At 34.4% G+C, this 27085-nt stretch overlaps 1 protein-coding gene across 18 annotated transcripts in view; it reads right to left on the bottom strand.

Moving 5' to 3' along the window:
- LRRIQ1 (leucine rich repeats and IQ motif containing 1) overlaps positions 1-27085 on the bottom strand; it is a 236455-nt gene that overhangs the window by 136277 nt on the left and 73093 nt on the right. For all 18 annotated transcript variants that reach the window (XR_944764.3, XM_011538819.4, XM_024449222.2 and 15 more), the window contains 3 exons: positions 14653-14832; positions 12010-12459; positions 8496-8697 (listed from right to left, as the gene is read on the bottom strand). Coding sequence is in view for 17 of the 18 variants with exons in the window: in XM_011538819.4 (XP_011537121.1) it covers positions 8496-8697; positions 12010-12459; positions 14653-14832 (832 nt within the window). In the remaining variant the exon portion in view is untranslated. The remainder of the gene's footprint in view (positions 1-8495; positions 8698-12009; positions 12460-14652; positions 14833-27085) is intronic.

The raw sequence follows: 27085 nt of genomic DNA, 5'->3' as shown, positions 1-27085 counted from the left end.
TGGTCAAAACTTGATCAATGACCCAGCTTCCTTGTTTTTAACTCTGCTTCTAACTCAGGAACAACCAGAGAAAGCCAAATATGCTTCCCAAACCAATCACATAATATGTTCTACTTCTAGTCTCTCCCTACCCACTTTCCCCATGCCAACAACCTCCAATAGAGCATACCTGAAGCGTTCCCTTTTTCCACTAAAAACTTTCCCACTCCCTTCCACGTTTTGGGGTCTATGCCAAAGGCAAGTGATGATGGCTGACTCCTTCATTAGCATATACTCTGAGTAGCCCATTTTTTTCTCATTTGTGTGGTCTTTATTTCCACTGTATACGTATGTGTGTGCACACCCACATACACATACACAAGTACACGCAGGTTGGAGGAGTGAGGGAGAGGAGTAAAGAAAGCAATTATGATAATGTCAGTAAAAAACAAGATTTTCTATAGAAGAAAAGAGATGCAAATATACAATTAAATAAGTAAAAATCCTATAGTCCTAACTATAATTTCAAAACATCAATATGTACCCATGGTATATTTTTTTTCCTAAAAATATCTATCTGCAAACTAAGTACATTGAATGTACATTATATAAATAATGACCAAACCAGTAGAAACAAGTATTTCTAAAATCCAGATGGGGTGCTCTATATGTCATTTCCATTAAAGAAACCAAGGATCTTTAGACAAATGACTGATTCTAGGCCTGGGGCAAAATGTATGTCAAATGAACCTGGAACATTGTGTCACATTAGAAAGCAAGGACAATTTTAAAGACTACTAAATTGTGGCAAAAATTGAACTTGATGAGACTACTAACTGCAATGAAATCAAACACATATATTTAAAATCTGTGTTTATTATCATAGTACCCATTTTGGTGACCTTTGGAGAATGCTAGGAGACCTCATTAATCTAAAAATTGGTAAATTAAGGAAAATTATTAATATCAAGCATTTAACTTGCCTTTCTAATTTGAACTGTACCTTAGGATAACTAGTTAAATAAAGTATTTTTTTTGTATTTTTACATACTTTAGTTAATAAAGAATAGTAGATAGAAAGTATCACCATTGTGCAAACCATTAATACAATAATCGATCTAGGCAATGTTTACCAATGGCCAGTAATATTCCTTAAAGAGAGGCAACCAGATACTATGTATCTCATTTTTGTAATACAACCACCACCTATGAAATATTCTTGCTAAAAAAAAAACCTGAATCAGAACAAACAGTAGATCTTAGTATCAATTTACAGAAAACCAGGAGATGATAAACATGTTAAATGATGTCATGAGGATGCATTTGGCAAAATTCAGAAATTGGAAAACCCTATAGGACAAATGACCTGGTTACTTCAATAAATAAATTGCAAGAAAAAGAAGGGAGTTGCTGTATAATAAAAGACTTAACATATAAAAGTTTGAGTGATGACTTTTATTTTGATTAAGAAAAATCTGCAAAGACGTATTAAATGCTACAGGAATTTGTAATACTGATATGATATTTGGTGATAGTGAAAAATAATTGTTATTTTTAAGGTTGGTAATGTACTGAAATTATATTCAAAGCAATATAATTGCTTGAATTATAGAAGTTCATGCTAAAATATTTATGAAAGGAATAATTTATTTCAAATAATCTAGTGATGAGGAGGTAGATGTGAATGGGTTTTAAAAGAGTCAATATTGACCAGTAGTTCAACTCATGTTGAAGGTAGGTATATGGGGTCTTGGATCTTCTCTGTACTTTTGAAATGTTTTGTAACTAAATGTTTAGAAAGTCACAGATAGTGCACTTATCTTTTTTCTTACAATCAATAAAATTACATAAAGTGAGAAATCAAGCTTCACGTGATCTTACAAGCTTCTTTTGCTGGTTGTCATTCATAATTTCCAATGATTAAGGATATAACCACGATTCTTGATGGAAATGCAAAGGAACAGTATTCTTCCATGGAGCCCACCCCATACAAATCAAGGAGGGTAAATAAGTAGCATGGTTTTCAAAATTTACTGAATGTCTATTATATACAAGGCACACATGACATAGCAGTGACTAAAACAGACAAAAAAATCTCTAAGCATGGACTTCCCATTTTAAAGGGGACTGAGACTGAAAATAAAATACACAAGGGAACTAAACTGTATGCTAAATAAATGCTATGGACAAAAATAACAGTCACAAGAGATGGGGAGCATTGGGGAGGTATTGCTATTTTAAATAGGGTATCCTAAGGACCTCCCACTGTGTATTTAACATTTGAATATATGTGCATAATGGAGCCTATGAGCCACCAACCTAAATATACCATCAGCAGGCAAAATTAATAGCCGGAATGTTATTCCTTATACCCTTGTTCTGGCTTAAGCTCAGTAGAGCAAGATTTCTGCAGTGGCCTACAACTGCTGTCTTCTATGCATTCTTGCACTCTCATTCTGTGGCCAACTGGTCTTGCACTAATCAAATCAGAAGCTGTGCTATAGCTTCTACTGCTGCCAATAGTCTTGAGACTGTGGTCCTGAGCAGGAGTTGGAAGATGCTGATACAGATGGGCATACTGTGCCTCAGTGATACTACTGTGTTGGAATTTACAAGCTTTTCACAAGTGGTGAACCCAGTCCTTAATTATGCTTATTAATAGTCTGATTTATCTGATACAGTATAGTAGAGATTTTCTTTTCCCAGACTGTGATAAATACTTGAGTCATTCAATGTTAACCTTCCTTCTTCCCAAAAAGCTGTGAGAAGCTCAGGCTTCTAGGAATAGGTATAGTTACCTACCCTACTTTCTGAGTGGAGAGACAGCACTGTCAAAGAGGCTAGTTCCTCATAACTCTACTCCTTTACCCATCCAACATGTCTGGCTTGAAAATTCAATTATCCTTTTCAAACCCTGAAACATATCCACTCCGTCTACCCCCAGTGCCACTTTATCTTCCTGGAAGAAACCTGTTTCAATCAAACCTCACCATCTATTTCAGCAGCTTCCTTCATAGCTTTCTCCAAGGCAACCTCACCACAGGAGAAGTAAGAAATATATTGTCACACCCTCGGAAGAATTACAATTTATTTTGCTATTGCTTATGTGTCAGGTTTCAGATTCCATTTACACATACTGAGATCTCTTTTCCAGGAAAGTGTGCGTAGGTTTGAGACTCCAGGAGGGGCTATGTTATCTAGTCTATTTATTGCCTAAACTATGTTTTTCTACTTTTTACTGATACAACTTTCTTTTTACCCAACCTACAAAATTCTAACTCAAATTATGATTGTTATCAATATTTTCAAGAAAGGTCAAAATTATTTGTAAAGGGAAAAATATAAAAAATCATATAGGATTGCCATGTAGATTAAACTAGAAAATTTAAACACAATGATAAGCATGTGATTATCACCTAATATGCACTCAATAAATATATTTCCCCCAATTTCCTTGATGCTTTATTTCTGACAACTTTATTCACTTAGTTCAACAAATAAGAAAATCATGTGATATTTAACATTGTATAATGTTAAAAAATACAGTTGATTAATTTTAATCATATTTACCTCTAACTTTTTTACTCTTTTTAACTTACCCATTATGGAGCATACCATCAGCTCTTTGCCCTCTTTATGATTGGCATGTCACATGGTCTGGATGACTAGTGCATGCAAGCTACCACAGAGATAAATAACACTATTTTTCTTTTACCTCTTTCATTTTGGTATTTTAAAAAATTATTTTTATTTCTATTTTATTTTATTTATTTATTTTTTATTTTTTTGAGACAGGGTCTCACTCTTTCACCTAGGCTGGAATGCAGTGGTGCAATCCTGGCTCACTGTAGCCTTGACCATCCGGGCTCAAGAGATCCCCTACCACAACCTCCTGAGTAGCTGAAACTACAGGTACATGCCACCCAGTTAATTTTTGTATTTTTTATAGAGACAGGGTTTTGCCATGTTGCCCAGGCTGGTATTGAACTCCTGAGCTCAAGCAATCTGTCCAACTTGGCCTCCAGAAGTGCTGAGATTACAGGAGTGCTCCACCAGGCCCAGCCTTAGATTTTCATATCTGGGTATTTATGCTCTCTTGGTTACTTGCTTTCTTTCAGAACGCCTTCTCCCTAACATGGCAAATGGGCCAAGTGGCTTCTTCCTGCTAGGGAGGTACCCTGCATATCCCTTCCTCTGCAACCCTGTCCCGAAAGGTTCCAAGAATCAGGGAAACATGCTCTCTTTCTCTTGATTATCTTTTTTCCTGAGGTCATCATATCTTTTTTTTTTACCTACCTTCCTCCCTTTTTAAAATATCAACATAATGATATCAAGATTGAGTGCAGACCTAGTGAAAAGAAGCTGGCAAGGGCAACCTTTCATCCAGCGCTAAGTGACATGAGCCAAAGGATTGATTCACTGTGGCTCAAAATGGATCCTGCTCAAATCATCAGGGTCTGGGCTTCTGCAAAGCTCCAGACTATAAAATACATAGCATGTGTGTTTTCTGGTGTGTCACACAGAGATATCTATATCTCCCTCATGAATCTGCTTAGGGTCAGAAATTCAAGACCCAGCCATCTCTGTTTAGTTTATCAGAAATAATGGTCATGTAAACATGTGGGTAAGTAATATTCATATTCTTCTTCTAACTTATTTATTTCTGACTAAGTCACATTTTTATCCTAGTAATCTATCTATGATTAACTCATCTCTCTTTCTCATATATTCAAATCAATTCTCTGGCCTGACAATTCTCTACTGGACATATCTAACATCTTTTTGTTCTCCAACTATCATCAACTCTTACCCCCTGTAGCATACTATATACTTGCTCCTTGTTGAAACTGCACACATCTCTCACCATGTTACCCCTACATTCTCTTAAGATTCTAGTTCTTATGGTATTCTTGTTGTGCTGAAGCTTACTACCATTCTAGTGACATGAAATCCTATGTTAAGTAACATTAAATCCTATGTTATTTTACTTACACTGTCCTTTATACCTGGAATTCCTATCTCTTACCTATCTACATTGAGTCCTACTATTACTTAAGGTGTAGCTCATATCCTTTAAGTGGGGTAGGGTAAGTGCTATAACAGAGTAAAAATGCATAATAATCCAAAAACAAGAGTTTATCTCTTGATCACATAACAAACACTGAGAGTAAACAAGCCAGTGGGACAGCACTTTAACATGAGGTGACTTGGGTGCTGTCTCCATTTCAGCCAATCAGAAAGGGAAAATGAAATGAAGGAGTGTCTGTGGGAGATTTTATGGGGTAGATCTGAAAGTGATATGCACAAATCTACCATTGAAATTTTTTTTTTTTTTTTGAGACAAAATCTCACTCTGTTGCCCAGGCTGGAGTGCAGTGGTGTGATCTCGGCTCACTGCAACCTCCTTCCCCTCTGGGTTCAAGAGATTCTCATGTCTCAGCCTCCCAAGTAGTTTACAGGCACCTGCCACCATGCCTGGCTAATTTTTTTTTTTTTTTTTTAGTAGAGATGAAGGTTTCACCACGTTGGCCAGACTGGTCTCGAACTCTGGACCTCAAGTGATCCACCCACCTTGGCCTCTCAAAGTGTTGGGATCTCAGGCATGAGCCACTGCGCCCGGCCTATCATTCACATTCTAATGACGAGAACTCTGAGAGCTCAATTGCAAGGAAAGCTTGGAAATCTAGTCTGGCTCTATGCCAGGAAGAAGAGAAGAATGTGGTTTTGGTGAACAGAGAGCAGTCTCTGGCACATCCTTCACAAAACCTTTCATTTTGATCCTTCTTAAGCCCCGGTTGTTTCTGCTATATCACACTGTACTCCCTCAGAATGTTTAGGCAGTCTAAAATTCATATTTTAAGATGAGTCATTTAAGAAGCTAGATGATTGTTCCCAACAGATGTGAAAATGGAGTTCACTTCAATGATGTGAAGTAATAGGATGTACAAAAGAGACTTACATTAAGTTACAAAGAAAGACTGAATGATGCTTCCTTTTGTTACTGATACAAAGAAGCTCAACCAAAGAACTCACAACAGAGGTATCAGTCACAACTAGACTACTTCATAAGGTAATGAACCTTCTCTTTAGTGAGAGGAATGAAGCAAAAGTTGAATAGTTGTTTACTGTCAATGCTGAAAAATGTATTGTTCATCCACCGATGACAGGCGGGAGTTTGGATGCATGGTGTCTACATTCCTTAGGTAGCAAAATAACATTTGGAGATAGTAAGTGAAGTTTCTTTTTATTTTTTCTCAGAGTTTCCTTGAATCAATTGCTGTCTCCTCACTCCCACTTCTATCAGGTAACAAAAACAGGTTTGCCTATGCACTGTTCTCAGGAGGAGTACAGTATAGACAAATTAAGTAAATGGAAATACTGGATACCTTGATTAGCAACTCAGCAAAGGTGTTTCTCTTGAAAGCTATGTCTTTAATATTAAGAGCTGAGAACTTGAGAGGAAGGGTAATTTCTTTTTTTCTGAATTTTAAGGCCATTTTTCCAGTTGCTCTTCCTAAATAACTTGGAGACCTTCCTGATTCCTATCTCTCATGTATTTACTCTCAAGATAAAATCAACACATATTCTGGAATGTGATATTCTTACCACCTCCGCTGCTGATACTCGGGTCCGTGCTGACGTTATCTCTTGCCTGGTTTACTGTAATAGGATGCTAACTGATTTGGCTTTTTCTGCCTCTGTCCTCTTACAGTATAATTGTGACAGAGAGTAAACTCGACCACGTCAATCCACTGTTCAAATTCCACCAGTGTCTTTCCATATCATATAAGACCTTTGACTTTTAAATCCTACTTTGCTCCTTTTCATCACTCTCTAGTCACACTGGCCTCTTGCTAATTCCTAAACACTGTGAGTAGGCTACTAAATCATGGCCTTAGAATCTGATGTTCCTTTGCCTCGAATATTCTTCCCACAGATATCGAATGGCTAAGTCTCTCTCCAATGTCACATTTCCTGGTCTTACACATCCATCCTATCTAAATTGATAAGCTTTTCTTTGATACTCCCATCCCACTTTTCCTGCTTTATATTTTCACCCACAATATTTCTCATAGCTAACATATTTATGAACTGCATATTCCAACAGAATGTAAGCTACAAAGATTTTTGTAGCAAGAAATATTTGCTGAATGAATAAAGGGAAATGCTAAATTTTGTTTAATTACTATCATTTAACACGAATTTCTACAGATCTTATTTTATTTAGTTTATATCTGCATCCTCCACCAGGATATAAATTCCATGAAGGTAGGAATCTTGTTGATTTTAAGTTTTATTTCCCGAGCCTAGAACAATTCCTGACAAGTTGTACCTTCTAAAAAAATTTGATGAGTAAATAAATTTTTAAAAATGAGTGTGATCAACATGAACTTCGTTTTAAAATCTGGTCTTGGAATATACTTTGTGAACTGCCTGTGGGGACCAATTGGTAAGGTACCGCCAGTGGTATCTAAGAGTTGAGAGAAGTTCCTGGACAACAGAAAGAATGAAACTGGGAACCTCAGTCTTACAGCTGTGAGCAAATGAGTTCTTCTAGCAACAAGTTGGATTGGAAGAGGACCCAAGCCCCAGACGAGATCTAAGGCCCCAGTCAACACTTTGATATCAGACTGGTGAGACACTGAGCAGAAAATCCATCCATGTTGTGCTCGGACTTCTGAGTTACAAAAATTTTACAATAATAAATGGTAATGTTTTATACTGCTTAAAAAGAAAACCCTGGTCTTGGTGAGATTGAGTCAAGTCTATTAATTATTTGCTTTCTAAATTTTTAAATGAAAGTATTTGAAAAACTTTAACAATTATTTTGGTAGATTTTCAAACATATAGAAATAGCTATCAAGGCCAAGCAAGACCTGCTTTGGCTAATCAAATGTTAGCAGATGTGACAAATGACATACTTGATGAGAAGTTGTTGTTGTTGTTTTTTGAGACAAGGTCTCACTCTATATCCAGGCTAGTGTGCAGTGGTATGATCATAGCTCACTGCAACCTCACACTTCTGAGCTCAAGCAATCCTCCTGCCTCAGCCTCCCAAGTAGCTAGGACTACAGGTGTGCATCACCACACCCACCTAATTTTTGTATTTTTTGTAGATATGGAGTCTCGCTTTCTGGGCCAGGCTGATCTCAAACTCCTGGCTTCAAGCAATCCTCCTGCCTTTGCCTCCCAAAGTGCTGGTATTACAGGCTTGAGCCACCACATCCTGCCTTGATGAGAAGTTTTAAATATGGTTGTGTGGTCCAGCTTGACCCTCAGTCATGCAATGGTATTTTGTATTTAAGGCTTATTCCTTCAATCCAGATATCAAGCAGAGCCACAGCCAACCCGCAGCTAACCTGCAGCTAACCTGCAGCCAACATGTCACTTGAATAAGAAATAAATCTACATAACTGTAATCACTGAGATTTGGAGGTTATTTTTAATACAGAATAAATCATGAAAGACAACTAATATATCTTTTGTAACTATGTTACCAAAAGATTGAAATTAACCTGAATAAGAATAGCAGCCTTCTCCCTCTGTTTTCGGATATTCACAATATTTTCTCTTTTTCCTTTCTTTAAAATAGTCTGATTCTTGATGGAAGAATTTGGCAGGCCTTCTGTTGCAGCAGTATGTAGCCTTGTGGAGAAATGAGTCTGTCTGCGCATGAGGTAACCACGCCAGTATGACTGGATTACCACAGCTGCCATACTATTAAGAGGAGAAAAAAAAACACACACTTTTTTTATTATCTGTAAATACAGAGTTGTAGATAAAAGGTCCTCCTAAACAAGATTTTAAACAAAGAACACATAAAGTATTATTTAAAAATAAGACCACTTCTTTTGTTTAACCATTGTCATAGAAGTAAAAATAGTAAGAAAACCTTCCAATCTGAAGAAAAGAAATGGGCCAGTAGTTGGGTATGTGGGTAAAAGGGAGTTTCATTTGTTTCTTTTAAGGAGAGAGATTTATAGAGATCTTGTATCATTCTGGGGATATTTGTCCAGAGAGAAGGGGAAAAAGTGGTGAGGCAGAAGAGAGAGGACAAATGTAGGAGCCAATGTTTACTTGGCAAGAGCGGGTAAAATCCTATTCCTTGTGGAGAAATTACCTTCGAATGTAAGAGGAAGGAGGCTTCCTTTACTGTAAGAGGAAGGACCCTATCAGGTGCTTAGGAGCTTCACTTTCTTCTCTGCCCACAAACAGTTAAATTACACTCTTACAGACTCAGTAGTAAATACTTAACATTTTTCTGGTCCACATCTATTTGCCAATTTCAGGCACTGAATGGATCAATGTTATGTGTTTTCCATATCTCCTTAAGTTGCCCAGCAACATTAGCAAAACGTGATTTAAAATGTACATTGATTATAAAAGTGGATTGTCAGTGTGTTTAGTAATTTAACTCTTACTAATCAGAAATGTTTTACTTTCCCAACATAGATTATTAGAGGAATATTACAAGGTAAAGAGTGTAGTCAAAGTGCTGACTATTCTCTCTTACTCTCTTTTCAAATTCCTGACATTGGCTTAAAAAGATTAGTAATTCTTGACCTATCTCCATTTCCTAATGCTCCCTTGAAATAGTTTTCAATAATTTTATAATTGCCAAATCCAATGAAACTTCTCCATTCCTTATACAATTTAGTTTAAGGCAAAGTGGAATGAAGTGATAAACTCTACTAGATATGACCACACATTTTTTTTCTCATAGTAATACATTTCTGGGAAATTAGAAAGGAATTATGAAGCCATTTTCTATTGTTGTTTTGGCTTATTATCGGTATTACTATCATCATCATTGTTAACATCATCATCCCCATTTTATGTAAGGCCAGTAGAAGGCTCCAATCTGTTTTACTACGAATAGAATATTGAAGTTAAAGGCTAAAATATATGGTCTAAGATAAGCTATTTGAATTTCCAGTACTTTGAAAAAAATATTCATATTCCAACAAATCATTTCCTCCTCCTAGGGTAAACAGAACTTTGTAAATTTTGATATAAATATAATTCACATTTATTCATTCAATCATCCATTCATTACTTCATCTTTTGAACAAAAATGGATTAGGGGATTTCAAAGCACCTTTAATAGGCACTTTGGGTGATAAAAGAATCAGAAAACACATTTGTAATATGTAACCAGTAAAAATTAAAAGGCTTATGGGAAAACACATCAAACCTGAGACAGTATCTTATATTTCTTTATAGACACATGCAAGTTTCACGAACTGTAACTGTGAATTTCTTGTAAAGTCATTGATTGCATGAATTCCTCAGCCTAATATCATCAAAATTCCCCAGGGAAAACAAAAACAGAAGGTAGATGAGGGGTATTTTCTTCAGTGACACTAACATATGGACTGCTTTTCACTACATTGAAAGCAGATAAAGAAGCTGACTTTATGGTTTCCTGAATGTAGGGTGCACTACAGGTTAAGAAAAACAACTCCATGATCATCATCATGATCATCATGTTTTTGGCAAAATTATAATGTCAAAAGTGTCTTTAGAATAAGAGCACATGCAAATAATTCTTAGGAAACTCTTATACAATTGGCAGTGAATCTCCTGAATCACTGAATGTTAAGATTCAGCAACGGGTATACATTTTCTTTCCCGTTTATTCTTTGGGTCTTTAGTTTATCTATATTTTCAGTTCTTCTTCCTTACTTACTATCATCATTTGGCTATTTTATTTAGGATTAAGAAGTTAAAAATATTGTTTATATGAAATTTCAATAGGCAACGTTTGAAGTGTTTGGAGCAAAGGCAACCAATTAAATAAACTGATAAAACATAAATCAGAAAATATTAAAGCCACTTTTGATAAATATTAAAAATTTACATTAGGAAACAAGTTAGTTTCAGCATATCAAATTACTTAACCTAGCTCCCAGAGTAATAAAAATTACTCTTTACCCTGACAACTTTTGAAAAAAGGAAGACTGGGAAAAGCAAGATTTGCTAGTTACTGTGATATTCTGATATTTGCACTGCTCAGCACCAGTAATTTATAAAAGAAGATAAATCTGAGCAATTTTTCTTTTCTTAGCTTGACTCTGAGGCCAAAAGTAAAAAGAACAAGAAGAAATTGACAGGCCAAAGTAAAACCTAATCCTTGCTGGTTCAATAGTCATTAGCTTTCTAAAATTATTTAATGGTTATAAGGGGGTTTACTTGATTAATCATACAGAATATTGCCCTACCTTATAGATCTATTAATGCCAAAAAACTATAGCACATACATTCAAATATGTGCAAAGATGCTCTTTAAATGTTTATTAAATCAATGGGCAAATAAATGGCATGTGCAAAGGTATATATATATTTTTATTTTGTTTATTTATTTATTTTTGAGATGGAGTCTCGCTCTGTCACCCTGGCTGGAGTGCAGTGGCGTGATCTCGGCTCACTGCAACCTCCACCTCCCGGGTTCACGCCATTCTCCTGCCTCAGCCTCCCAAGTAGCTGGGACTACAGGCACCCGCCACAACGCCCGGCTAATTTTTTGTATTTTTTAGTAGAGACGGGGTTTCACCGTGTTAGCCAGGATGGTCTCGATCTCCTGACCTCGTGATCCGCCCGCCTCGGCCTCCCAAAGTGCTGGGATTACAGGCATGAGCCACCGCGCCCAGCCTGCAAAGGTATATTTTTAAAAAATGAAAATACTTGATTACTCAGAAAATGTTTTTATTATTTTTAGACTGTGATATTTTATTTCTCCTTAAAACATATTAATTATTTAGAAATTACAAGGCAGAAAAAAACTCACATTTACTCATTTAAATACTACTAGAAATTAAATGAGAATTTAATCAAATTAATATGCACTATAATTAATGATTTGTGCACCTCATGAAAACATAATGCACCTCACGAAAACATAATGGAATCGGTATGAAATATGATTGTGATTTGAATCCTTCAGCAAATTACTAGGTACCATTGACTAATATCATCCATCAAAAGGAGTAAACATACATCTATAAAAGAAACATTATTTATATATCTTACATTTTTTCACTAGGCTCAATATTTTGGTGATTCCTCAGCAAAGAATTTGTCATTACTACTTCCTTAAATGGGATTCTTATGGTGGGAATACTGCTTGCCTTGCTGTCTTCTCTCTTCTGACATACTAATATTTCCTGATGTCTTCCTTCCATATTTTCACATGTGGCGGATTTGCTTAATGGGGAGTGGCTGGAGACAGAGTCCATCCATTTCTCAGGAATATCTGGTGAGTCTGGCTCACCTTCACGTGCACAAGAGTAGAAGACTCCATTTTGCAGAGTGCTGTCACTGTTTGTAGGGGCCAAATGATTTTTCTGGGCTTCTGATTCATCTTTCTTGGTGATAGTTACATCCCCTCGTTCGTGTGCATGTCGGTATTCAGTACTAAGTATCATCAATTTCTTAAAATAATGACAGAGATTTTCTGCAGTATCCAAGGTAAATACATCTCTGAACAAATAAATGATGAGAACATTTAATAAGAATAGTACCAGCAAATATTAAAACTTGTGCAAGTTTTGAAAATTTCACTGTATGGCCTCAAATGAATATTAAACTTCAGTACAACATTCATTATAGATTATTTCTAGTTGTTTATATAAAAATTGATCTCGTTTATAACAAAATTTGAAAACATTTGTTTAGTTAATTTAGAACCATCAGTCCAGACAAAATGTCTGGAAGTTTTAGGACCATTTTTATTCTAGGTATTTTTGGTATAAATGAATGAGAAAAATTCATGCTTTTATTACCATAAACATGAGAAATCATGGCTGACTAAATTTGGAGAAGTTATTTATGAAATAAAGTTAAAAGTGCTTTCTACATTGACTTTTGCCACGCAAAATATTTGTATTGGACTTTTAAACAAAGAACTTACATTATGGGAAAATTTTTATTCCCATTTATCTCTGGAAAAATAATAATCTATTGCAAAGAGAATTCAAGTACTTTAAGACATTAATGGCTAAGATTCTCTTGAACAATGATTGGATTTCTAGCTTTTGAATTTTATAACTTGTATAATTAATCAAAATTTAATGTTGGCTGGATTTGAAGTTCTCAGTAAGAAATGTAAAGGACTTTTCACTTGTATGAGCCTTATTCTTGGCTACATTTTGTCTTCCTTTATTTTTATTTCATGTCTAAAAATTTTTGCTTATTTCTAACTTGTATTTTCTGGCTATATTTAATATATTGCCACAAGCTGCCTAATTTTTTTCTGAAAAAATACAGTATATAAAAAATAAAATGTTAATCACATCAAACAAAATGAAAGTTACAATTATTTCCAAAAATGTAGAGACAATTTGATAGCTCCTATGTTCACAAAGGTAATTTTAGACATTAGCATAGGCTCATCCAATATATGTTTTATATTTTGTATTTCATTCATTTCATTGGCTAATAATGCAAAAAAAGTTCAATATTAGAATATTAAGTGTTTATGGTTACTTGTTGAACTCACCACCACTTATGCATTCAACATATAAAATATAGTCTATTTTACATATTATAAAATTAGAATTTTCTTTCTTCCTATAGTCTTTCCATTTTCAATGCTAAAATAAAACTTAAGTTCCAAAGGACTACATTTAAAATCTCATGTTGAAATTTGGACTTCAAGGGAATGTGAAGAGTCACCTTTACATACAAAATTGTATATTACCACATATATACAAGTAAATATTATTTTAGATTTGCATAAAGACAAATGTAAATAATCGCAGTATTTGTTACATTAAACATTACTTATAACAATTGAAATTATTTTTAATGATGTGAGATTTCTTTTTAATCAAAATAGACTATGTTCAAAAATATTTACACAGAAAACGAACTTTTACATAGGACAAGCATATATAAAAGTATCAATAGCAAAACCTTAAGAATATAATTTAGTAGGAAAATTTAGACATTTGGAAGTGCATGTTATTTTTCCAATTGCAATGAAGAGTCATTGTAAGTGAAACAATACAAAATCATCTTTGTTTATAATTTACATTTCCTGACATAATGCAAATTAAAAAGTACAGTTTTAGAAATATCAATTATAATGCATTCAGAATTCGAGGTGGGGAATAGGAAGTTTTCTTTCTTCAACATTTGATTCTGATTACTGTCAACTTCTGTAGTCTAAATGGGTGCAAGTGCTGACTGCTTTTTTCTACTGTGCTCCCATGATACCTTGATACGTAAGTATATGTACACTATTTTAATATGTAATATAAATTACATGTGTTATAAAACTTACCTCACTCTATTCTAGGTGTTTACCCAATTTTCTCTTATGTTAATTTGTGAATTATTTGGGGATAAATAGTCTTGCCTACAATAATTATTGAATAAAATTATGACTGAATAATTATGAATTTTTGCCTCTTGTCTTGATGCTATCCACATGCTTTCATTTTCTTTATCTAATATTGTAGCATTTAAATATTTGAAATTATGTTCAAAATACATATTAATATATTTCAAGAATAAAAACATGATGTCCAAAGTTTTTAAAGGTAGAATATCCCCAAAACACACTGTTCTAATCCAAAAAAGTATAATTGTGTTAATCAGAATACTTTAAAATCACATTTATAAATTACATTATTGATTCTAAATACATCAATGGGAAGATCACAATCTTACCCTTTTCCAGTTATATAATTTTCAATTAGCAAGTTGAATTCTCGAATCTGAGACTGACAAAGTGCCAGGAAACCTGCTGATCCCAGTTGATTGTGTTCTTCAGTGCGGCTTTCTGAATTAGAGTTTAGTATATTGCCATTGAGGATTCTCAGAGCAGGCAACACTTTAAGTAGAGAATCCCTATTGAAAACAACAAAAAAGTTAATAATCCTGATCTTGATAAGGAGAGTATGTATCTAAATAACCATATACTAATCATTTAAATAATACAAGCATAGGATATATATCTCAGAAAATGTGACTGTAGGGAAAATGATAGAGTTAGATTTTGTTTTTGTTGTTGTTACATTTCTTTAAAAAGCATGGCATCAGGTCATATACAAAGTAAGTTTTAGAGTTAGTTCTTTAACCTTTTTCTTCTAAAACACAAATGAAAGATTGAAACTTGGAAACTCAGGCTGGAATTTGGAGTGTAAAAAGATGCATTATGAAAAGAATAATAATATTAGATAAACTTTTAAACAGAAGATAACTATAATAATCTTACCAAAAGTTGTCTTTTATTTCAGAAATAGAGGTATATTCTGTTTCTCTTAGTAAAATATACTGAGAGTAGGACTAAAACAAAAGAGGTAGGATATTACCCTGTTTATCATGATCTGGAACATCTACAATTATATTTTCTCCTGAATCTTGCTAAGGATTATAAAGGTAAAAATCTTCAAGGTATTTGCAAAAGTCTATATCAATTTTTGGTGGTGCGCACCTGTAATCCCAGTTAGCCGGGAGGCTGAGGCAGGAGAATCACTTGAACCGGGGAGGTGGAGGTTGCAGTGACCCAAGATCGTGCCACTGCTCTCCAGCCTGGTGACAGAGCGAGGCTCCATCTCAAAAAACAAAAACAAACAAACAAAAAAAACAAAAAACAAACAAACAAACAAAAAAACAAAAACTAATGCTGTGAAAAAGCCAGGTCAGACAGCAAGAGCTTTCCATCAAGCTCAGCCATTTAGAACTACTAGCCGAAACCCTTCTCAAGGAGAGAGTGTAGGTCTCTTTTCACCAGGCTGCTGATAGTTACAGGGGAAAAGTGAACTCCTTCAATAAAGTTAATCCCCTAATTAAAAACTAATAGTTCCTATGGGGAAACTATACAACTCTAATGAAAGATATCCAAGATGAACTAAATAAATCAAGAGATATCCCACTGGGGGGGTTCATGGATAGGAAGACTCAATATTGTCCAGATATAAGTTATTCCCTTATTGATCTATAGATTAAACTCACTGCCAATCAAAATTATAGCAAGGTATTTTGTGGATATCAACAAAGTGTTTCTAAAGTTTATATAGAGAGGTAAAAGATCCAAAATAGCCAACTCAATATTGAAGGAAAACAACAGTTAGAAGACTGACACTAACTGATTTCAAGACTTAATATGAAGCTATAGTAGTAGAGACAGTATGGTATTGGTGAAAGAATAGACAGATCAAAGGAACAGAATAGAAAGTCCAGAAATAGATCCACACAAATATAGCGAACTGATCTTTGGCAAAGGAGCAACACCAGTACAATAGAGCTAAGATGGTCTTTTCAACAAATGGTCCTGGGACAACTCAAAATCCACATGAGTAAGCATGAAGCTAGACAGACTACACCCTTCACAAAATATTATCTCAGAAGGAATCAAAGACCTAAATGTAAAATATAGAATGTTAAAACTCCTAGAATATAATATAGGAGAAAATCTAGATGACCTTTGGTATGATGATGATTTTTTAGATAAAATGCAAAAGGAAGGAGAGTTCAAAAATCACCAAAGGTATAAATCAAGGAAAGAAAAAATACATTTGACTTCATTAAAATTAAAATTTTCTACTGTATGAAAGACAATCTCAAGAGAATGAGAAGACAAGCCACAGACTGGGAGACAACATTTCAAAAGATGTATCTGTTTAAGAACTGTTATCCAATATATCAAAGAACAAAAGTCAACAATCAGAAAATGCACAAACTAATTTAAAAATAGGCAAGAAACCTCAACAGACACCTTACTAAAGAATATATACAGATGACAAGCCAGCATATAAGAAGATGTTCGGCATGATATTCATTAGAAAATTGAAAATTAAAATAACAACGAGACAATGTGATACCACTACGTACCTATTAGAATAACCAAAACCCAGAAATACTGACAATACCAAATGCTGGTGAAGATATAGAGCAAGAGAAACTCACATTCGTTGCTGGTGGGAATGCAAAATGGTACAGCCACTTTGGAAGACAATTTGACAATTTCCTATAAAACTAAATTAAATCTCACCAAATGACCCAGCAATAATACTCCTTGGCATTTATTCAAATGAATTGAAAATTTATATTCACACAAAAATCTGTAAACAGATGTTTATAGCAGCTTTATTCATAATCGCCAAAACTTGGAAGCAACCAAGATGTCATTCAGTAGGTGAGTGGATAATAAACTGTGCTACAACTAGAAAATAGGATATTATTCAGTGCTAAAATGAAGTGAACTAGGAAGCCATGAAAAGAGGTGGAGAAAAGTTAAGTGCATATTATTAAGTGAAAGAAGTCAATATGAAAAAATTCACATACTATATTGTTCCAATTTAATGACATTCTAGAAAAGGCAAAACTATTTAGACAGTAAGATCGCTAGTTGTCATGGGTTGGTGGGAGGCAGAGATGAATAGGCAAAGCACAGATTTTAGGGCAGTGAAACTATAGTTTATCATACTACAATAGTGGATACATGTAATTATACGTTTGTCAAAACTTATAGATTATGAAACACCAAGAGTGAACCCTAATGTAAACTACGGGCATTGAGTGACAATGTCAATGTAGACTCATTGATGGTGACAAATATACCTCTCTGGTGCAGAATTTTGATAGCAGGAAATGTTGTGCATGTATGGGGTTGAGGTATGTGGGAACTCTGTACTTTCTGCTCAGTTTTGCTGTTAACCTATGACTACTCTAAAAATAAATTTTATTAATTAAAAAAAGAAAGTAACAATTCCTAAACACTAAATGAAGAATGACAAAGCGAGATTATTAAAATGTTAAGATTTAAGAAATAAAACTTCAGGCAGATCTCTACCTAGATTGTATAGTCTGAGATGAAATATTCATTTATACAAACAGTTATGAAATATAATTTTAGCATATGTATATGTATTACAAAAGAAGTGGCCCATGAAGGCAAAAATGCCTAGGGCCAACCAAAGTAATAATGTATCTCTGTGTATAGTTATAATCTTAGTAGTCTTGGTAGTAATAGTAAATTAAAAAATAATTACAAGAGATAGATAAATACATTTTCCTCTATAAAAGCAAAAAAAAAAAAAAAACATAGTTTTTCATGTACTGAGAGCAGAAATAGCTCCCAACCCCCACTCTGCTCCCTCCCCTGAAAGAAAACTGAAACCTTTTTTCTCATCAATATTTAAATAAGGGAAGAGGGAAATAAACTGGATTTGTTTCTTCAAGGTAATTATCAGATGATCTACATATTATGAAGCAGATAAAAATCTTGACGCTTTGCTAATAAATAGTTTGATCAAGTTAAGAAAATATGAGTCCATATATTTTGAACTTGTTCAGTAGTTTTGAAGCTACCAATGTTTACCAAATCATAAACTACCCTATTTGCCACAAAGGAATAAATAACATACATCGTGTTTCTGGTTGCATTAATTTTAAGACATGGTTCAAAGGCAGAATGTTATGTTAAGATAACAGCTATTCATCAGAGGGGTTAGGAGATAATCAGAGATAATCACCAGGGATAATCTTTGACCAGGGCTTTCTTCAAAACAAAGAAAGGTTACTTTCTGAAAATAAAACTGGTAATAACCAAAAATAAATGAAGAAATCAGCTGTCCATAACCCACCTCACCAAGTTGTTTACTGTATTACTGATGAAGCTACATTGTATTCTAAATCTCCATAAAATTACTCAGTCAAGTTTTCTTAAAGGCATGACTGTGATGCCAAAATAACTTACTTAGTTATGATTATAAAATGCCAGGTATGAACTAATGATGTTTTTAAGATGTGACAATAAAGTGTACTGGCAGTTAAGAATGCATCTCTTCAACCAGTATCAAAAAGAAGATACTCTGATTCTGTTGCTGGACCTTTTTCAAGATTCAATTTCCTAAATTAGAAGACTAAACATAAAGCTTCAACAACTTGATGGAAATAGCTCTTGAGAATAACCCACAGTTTATTCTAATTCTTTGGATGCCAAGCAGATTTTTGTCTGACACCTTGATCTCTAGAGTGGACCTGAGTGAATGAATGTGAAAAAAGGAGGTCTGCCAAAGTCATGTTCTAGTCTTTGAAATAGATATATCTTACAAGAAAAATTAATAAAGCAGATTTTCTTTTTTAAGTTGTATCTTTTTGGAGTTATATGAAGCAGATTTTTTCTTCTCCTACTATAATAATTTCTAGTTAAATAGTAACAGTAAGCTGTTGAAACTTCCATACTTTTCACCGGGAAAAGTGATCCTGGATCCACAGTGGTAGTGCAAATGCAATAATGCCTGTGAGACCCTTTTGAGTAGCCATCTTTCAAGTCTCATTTTGGCTGAATGAGGAGACGTCATCAAAGCAAGATAACACTCTGGCTGCTACCTGATATTCCCAAGGTCTAACAAACTGCTTCTTATTCACTCTCTATATCCCTCAAGAAAGAAATTCAAGGCTAGATCCTTATAGTGTGCCTCCAACACTGCAGGGCAGTGTTTCCGAAATGACTGTTTATGAACTACTGTATCAGTTGTACCTGGGATGCTTTGAAAAATGCAGTCTTTCCACATGCACGCAAATGTTCATTGCAGCACTACTCACAATAGCAAAGACATGGAATCAACCTAAATGACTATCAATGACAGATTGGATAAAGAAAATGTGGTACATATACACCATGGAATATATGCAGCCATAAAAAAAAAAAAAGAACGAGATCATGTCCTTTGTGGTAACATGGATGGAGCTGGAGGCTATTATCCTTAGCAAACTAAGGCAGAAACAAAATACTACATGTTCTCACTTTTAAGTGGGAGCTAAATGATAAGAATTATGAACACAAAGAAGAAAACAACAGACATTGGGGTCTACTTGAGCCAGGAGTGTGGGAGGAGGGAGAGGAACAGAAAAGATAACTATTGGGTACTGGGCTTCATACCTGGGTGAGGAAATAATATCTACAACAAACCCCCATGACATGTGTTTACCTGTGTAACAAACCTTCACATCTGCTCCAAAACCTAAAATAAAAGTAACAGAAAAAAAGAAAACTGCTGTCTTTGATTGTATGAAATAACCCTGCTGATAGGTTGGGGTAAGCTTTATTTTTTAAATATAGCCTTCTTTATGCACACTAAAGAATAAGAACCCGGCCGTGCCCGGTGGCTCACGCCTGTAATCCCAGCACTTTGGGAGGCCGAGGCGGGCGGATCACGAGGTCAGGAGATCCAGACCAGCCTGGCTAACACAATGAAACCCCGTCTCTACTAAAAAAAAAAGTACAATTAGCCAGGCGTGGTGGTGGGCGCCTGTAGTCCCAGCTACTCGGGTGGCTGAGGCAGGAGAATGGCATGAACCCGGGAGGCGGAGCTTGCAGTGAGCCGAGATCGCGCCACTGCACTCCAGCCTGGGCGACAGAGCGAGACTCCGTCTCAAACAAACAAACAAACAAACAACAACAAAAAAAGAATTTGCTAAGTACAATAAGAAATATTGTGGCACTGCTGCAGTTATACTACGATAATTTGTTCACCGGTTAACATTTCCACTTGTTTTACATAAAGAGTATGACCGTGTCTTAGAACAGTATTCCTGGAACTCTGAATTTAGAGAGTACATTTCAAATACATAGAGACACTGGGCTTCTATGCAGAATAATTAATGACAAAATGAAGAGCTACTTTAACACAATAATCTAATATAAATATTTGTTTTATCAGAAAAATGAACAGATAAATATATTTTACTATAAGCATATTTTATTTAATAAAAAATATTTTATACTCCAAACAATAAAAATAAATACATTCAAAGATAATATGGAAGTATAGGTTTGTTTCTAGTTGTTGCAACTGTTACTACACAAAAGTTGTTCAGATGGAAACTGATACCAGATCAGCAAGGAACAAAGTAATGATTTTATCATGAAATACTATATTTTGGTCATAGATGCTGATATAAATATTACATCCAATATTTCAGGTATGGGGAACAATTCTAGGGAATGTGGATCAAGAGAGGTTGAATTTTTACGTTAGGAATACTTTGATGTTATGTTTATCACCTTTATATAAAAAGTTTCCAAATGATTTAGTATTTGGAATTCCTTTGAATGTAGATATTTAGTTTGCTTGGATATTTAAGACTATAACAATATCTTGAAATTTGTGATTTATATAATCAGTATCCAGATTGGAGTTAGTGTTTTATTTTAAACATTTTCTTCATGTTATTTACTTATTAAAGAACAATCCTCAGAACTGCATAACAGAGCAGTGCATGGATTGGCCTCAAGTTCTAAATGCAGACTTATAAGAGTTTATGATGAATATATTAGAAAGTGTCATAACAAGTTGATGAATGTTGGAAATGAAGTATCAGAATACTGTGAGATCTCAACATTAGCTTTTCCAGCTGGGCGCCTCCTAATCAAGGGCTGAACCAATATTTCATTTGGTGAAAATTTCCTGGTGAATATTCCACCACTTAAGAAGCTCTATTAATCATGAATGAATGAGAGAAATTCCCAAAGGAGATTTCAAACTGAGTCTATGGATTAAGTTTTAAAAAGAGATTTTTTTAGTACATCAGCATTGTCCCTGTTATCACTGGCTAGACATGAAAGTAAGAAGCCAGTTGGGAAAATTTATAACTAATCCTTTTGTTGGTATCATGGGGTTATGTAAAGTTCATTGGAATACACTGCTTAAAGTTTGAGTTGATCCTTTGATTAATAAATCCATATTTTATAGATTTACAGATTTAAAATCCTTTAGATAAATGAATTTCTCAAATTAAGTATAGGCCAACTGATGTAAATGAAACTTGACAGCCAACATTCTAAAGTGGGAATTACTCTAGTCCAGAAAAGTTCATTTAAATATAGAAATTATAGCCAAATCATTTTTCATACTTATAAATATTATTTATTTTCTTTCATATTCTTATGTATTTTCTGTAAAACTCTAAATCACATAAACTCAACAAAAGCAGTAAAATGTGAATATTTATCTTTACAAATTTGTAATAAAATATGTCAATTTATTTTCCCACAAGTATGTTTTAGTCAATAAAATAAGTGTTCATGCTTCATGCAAACAAAATGATAAAAAATACATTGAAAGATTATTTGAGACATTAATTTTGTTTCTGGTTGTTGAAACTGGCAATGTGGCAGCTATTTGGATGGAAAGTGACACCAGATCAGCAAGATAATTCATGTCATTTTTGCTCAACAACTAACAAACAATTCATGGCCCTAAAAGGACGTGCTCTGAATCATGGGAAAAGCTAGTATTTTTTATTTGTCATCTAGGCTTGGCCCGTATAGTTACTAGGAAAAAAAAATCCACCTAAAAACAACCCATCAGATATTTTCATTATAAACAGTATTACTTGCCAAGCAGTGCCTTTTAGATGTAATTATACTCTTGTTTTTGTATGAGAAGTTTCACTTTAAGATCCAGCTCCTAAAAGTGAGGATCCCAAACTTGGAGATTAGGAGTACTTTAAACCCAGTGTAAAAGAAGCATAGCCCCAGAACTTGAGTCACTACAGGTAAGTGGAAATATCGATTGCTTCTATTCCAGATGAGGGGGTCCTATACCCAGTGCACGAAAGGTCTAGAAACACATTTAGGTGGCCTTTCACACACACACACACACACACACACACACACACACACACAAAACTCATTTGAATAATTGAAATTTCTGATACCCTTATGATTTGACATCAACAGTTGACATTTCTTGTAGTAATATGTCCTATAGTTCAGTTTCTCAGGAAACCTGGGGAATGTGATAAATACTACAGCACTTTAGAAGTCTGAGTACTGTAGTTTCACAATTCCTGATACTGACAATTACTGTGAATTAGCAATAACACCAGTTGTCAATTTATCAGGAATAACATTTCTAATCACTAATGTAAAATTAAATGAGTTCAATAGAAAAACTTGGCGGAGGGGGGCAGAAACACGCAATTTCTCAAGCCTTTACACATTACAATGTAATTAAATACTGTAATGTATTTGTTCAACAAATATTTTGGGGTGTCTATTACATACAAGGGACTGTGCTGGTACTATGTAACCGAAGCAAAAACAATAAACAAAATTTTTTCCATTAGGGATATAACATTTTAGTTGGCTGTTTTAGATTATATCCTTTTAAAAATTAATGGATATAAATAAAATTTCTCAATTTAACAGATCTCAGTGAAATGCTACAACACAAACCTGAAATGGACAAACTAAGTGCAATCTACACAATTCAGTACTGCAGATCAAGCTGTTAAACTCTCTGCGTAAATGAATATATGTCCTTTAAAAAAATAAAGGAAATGTACTCTGCACCCTCCAGAATTTGTTTCCAAGATATAAATGGTAATTCTGTCACCAATTATGTTTCCTTCTGTTCTCTTTAAAATTGCAATTCTGTTCTTGTATTCAACAAAAGTTAAGGAAACTGGTCTGAACATTTGTACTCAAGGTGCCACAAATGTCTCCGGATTGAGAATTGACCATATGCATCCAAAGGGCACATGGTGAAGGACTAAAGTATAATATTAGTAAGGAAAAGTGATTATATCCTTTCCCCAATAAATGAAGAGAGATATTTATCTCTGAGTAAACAGAATGCCAACTTGCTAAAGCAAAAAGACAAGAGGGAAGCCATAAGCTTATTATAAATTAAATAAGAGGCAAGAAAAGCCATCCAGACATTCGGGAGAACAGGGATTTTGTGCCCTAAAGATAGCCTGTGAGATAGTAAGTTAAAAGATCTTATCTATAAGAGAATGAGAGGGGAAGAGTATGTTCTCATTACATGAGTCCAACTAACGCATTTTTAATGGCTTCCCTGAAATCGCATCTGAATGAGTAAAATATTTGAGACTTCCCTAAAATAACCCATGCCTTGAGGCAGTGACCAATTTTCTCTGGTAGAAATAAGAAGTGCCTGGGACAATGCAAGAAATATATCCAGAAATAAAAATGTAAACTGCCATTTTTATAACTACAGAATCCCCAGTACCCAAAGAGATTATTTCAGAACATAAAATTCTTCTTGCTTTGTCTTTCAGAAGCAAAACTCTTAAAAAGCAAAAGAAAGCCATGAGAAAATAATAGCATATGTTTAGTATGAATGGGAAAACAATATATATTCCAAGTTAGAAATATTTCTTATGCTATTAATATAAAAAGTATAGAAATAGCCTATTTATACATTAACTTTAATATTAATAGAAAATATTAATATTGATTTTAAAAACTATGTGTAAATAAAAGAGAGGAAATAATATCAAGGGTATAAACCCTATAAAAATCATTTTAAGAGAAAATAGATCCAAATCTAAGAAGATGTAGTCTAGCTATTCAGGAGATGATAAACTATGCAAGATTGAAGAATGTCCTATCCAAGGATATAATAAAATGAACAATATTTATTTAATCTTTCCATCTCTGGAAACTTTTATACTTCAGATGTTTTTAGAAATCATTTTTTAGATATTTTGACATTTTTTAGAAAACTGTGCATGCAAACATGTCGTATCTAATGTATGCTAATTAATCTCTGCACCTCAATTTTTATTTATTAACAAAATGAAAGAATTGAGAGAGAGAGTGTGTGTGTGTGTGTGTGTGTGTATATATATATAAAATGTCTAATACCATATACATATATATGGTACATATGTCCCCTTCCAGCTCTATTCTGGAAGAATCTGTACAATAATTTGGGGCTATTTCCATGACTGAATTTTAGCCCTTTATAATTCCTGGACTCTAATAAATTTGGTCACTTGTTTCCTAATCTCTTATCGGTTTGCTGATGAAAAAAGTCTTCCCAAAATGCTTATTTCTGGTAGAAATACAAAATGTCTGGGACAATGCCAGAAATATATTCAGAACTAAACATGTAATCTACCATTTTTATAACCACACATATATTCAAATGTTCTCTATTGCTCACTAAAAACAATAGTTAATATTTTCTTAGTGTGGCAGGTGAGAGGCACTCTATAAATTGCTTTCATGTGGTAGCATATTTAGCCTTCACACAGACTGTTAGTGTTGGCTGATGTTCTTTACCTTTTCTAGCCTCTTGTGAAGTAGGTTTGGTGATATGACTAGTTACACGAATGGAACTAGTCAACGGAGTGGAATATGAGTGAAGTGATGACTGCCTTGTTCTTTACCTTTTCTAGCCTCTCGTGCAGTAGGTTTGGTGATATGACCAGTTACATGAATGGAACCAGTCAACGGAATGGAATATGAGTGAAGTGATGACTGCCACCTGTGAAAGCAGAGTGGTTATATGTCAGTTGTACCCTTCCCTATGGTCGGTCCCTTTCCCTCTCTCCTACCACAATCCACTAGCTTACAAAAGCCAAGTACAGTGAAGCCACATGAAACAGGTCTACAAAATGGAAGCAGCCTGAGTTTCTGAGTCTGCCTACATTATACAGGCTGAACCCACATCAAATGTAATGTAAACAAGAAATAATCTAGTATTGAACCACACAGATTTCTGGGTTATTTTTTATGAAGCCTAACCTATATTACCCTATGAGATAAGTACTATTCAAATCATAAGGTTTCTAGGCTTTTGTAAATACCTCTCTAAAATGAGAATGACAATTACAGAACCCAACTTACAGGGGTGCTGTGAAATAAAGTAATATATAGAGAGAGTACTTCGTCTATTCTCTGACCACTGTAAGTACTTGATTTCTCATCTCCTTCCAATGGTATTTCCCAGTATACCCATTTTACATCTGAATAGACTAGCTTCAAACAGAGTCTAGCTACATCTGACCTTCCTTACTTTTCTTGGATATTCCTCCCCCAGAATTGCTTTTATTAGTTCTTTATGATTTTAAATCTTAGCAAACTTCTGAGGTTTAACTAAAAGTGTGCCCCTTTAGCCAAGGCCGTTTCTCCTTGTCACACTAAACTGAGATGATTTTTCTAAATTTTTAAAGCTTATATGTTGCCTACAATAATCATTTGACACTAGTGTTTTATTAGACACAAAAACTCTAAGAGTTACAAGCGTAGATTTTGCAGCCAGACTGCATGAGTTAGATTTCCTGGCTCCTCTACTTGATAGCTATGTAACCTTGGTCAAGTTATTTAGCCTTTATGGGACTCAGTTTCCTCAACTATAAAATGGGAGGCTGGGTTACATACATAATTATTAGGCATATTGTATAGATTAAATGAGAACAGTGTTGAGCACAGAGTGAATGTTGTATTAGTGGTTTTGATCATTATTATTTTTCATGGTTATCAATTCTGTGCCTACATTTTATCTCCCCAGTATGATTAGAAAAATGTCTTAAAATTATGGGTTACATTAAATCTCCTTCATAATGTCCAACATGTTAGGACACTGAGGACACTGCATACAGGAGGAGTTCATAAAATACTTGGTGATTAAATAAGATCCCATATATAATCTGGTTAACATGGTAATGGGAAATAGTAAATTTTCATTATCTTACCACGTTCTAAGAATTGTTCTAAATAAATTATGCGTATTATACCATTCAGTTCTCATAACCACCCCATGAGACTATCATCCTCATTTTACTACTGGGGATTCAGAGACATAAAAAAGTTAAGTTAGAGCTGGACATGGTGGCATACACCTCTTGTCCCAGCTACTCAGGAGGCTTTGGTAAAGGAAATGCTTAAGTCCAGGAGTTCAAGGCCATCCTGGGCAACATAGAAAGACCACATATCTAAAAAAGAAAATTAAGTTACTTGTCCAGGATCACACAGTATGGGGTAGGGGTAGAATATCCTTGTTTTAAAATGGTGGTTTTCAAACTTTAGTATATATCAGAATCATCAAAAGGGCTTCTTAAAGTACAGATTACTGAACACCATTCCTAGGTTTCTGATTCAGTAGGCTTGGATGGTGTCAAAAATACTGCATTTCTGCTGGGTTTCCAGGTGATGATGACTGATGCTGGTCAAGAGACACACCTTTGAGAACCACTGTACTAGGTCATACTCTTTCATCTGTGCTGCACAGCTTAACGTACACTTGGAAAAGACATTTCTAAACTGGAAGTTGACAAATTTTTTTCTAAAACGTGGAAACATGCCAGATTTCCCTAAATAACATTGTACTATTAGAAA

Source organism: Homo sapiens, chromosome 12, assembly GCF_000001405.40.
Source record: "Homo sapiens chromosome 12, GRCh38.p14 Primary Assembly".
Lineage (NCBI taxonomy): Eukaryota > Metazoa > Chordata > Mammalia > Primates > Hominidae > Homo > Homo sapiens.
The sequence above is the reverse complement of the archived record's forward strand: the minus strand, read 5'-3'. Positions and strand labels throughout refer to the sequence as shown.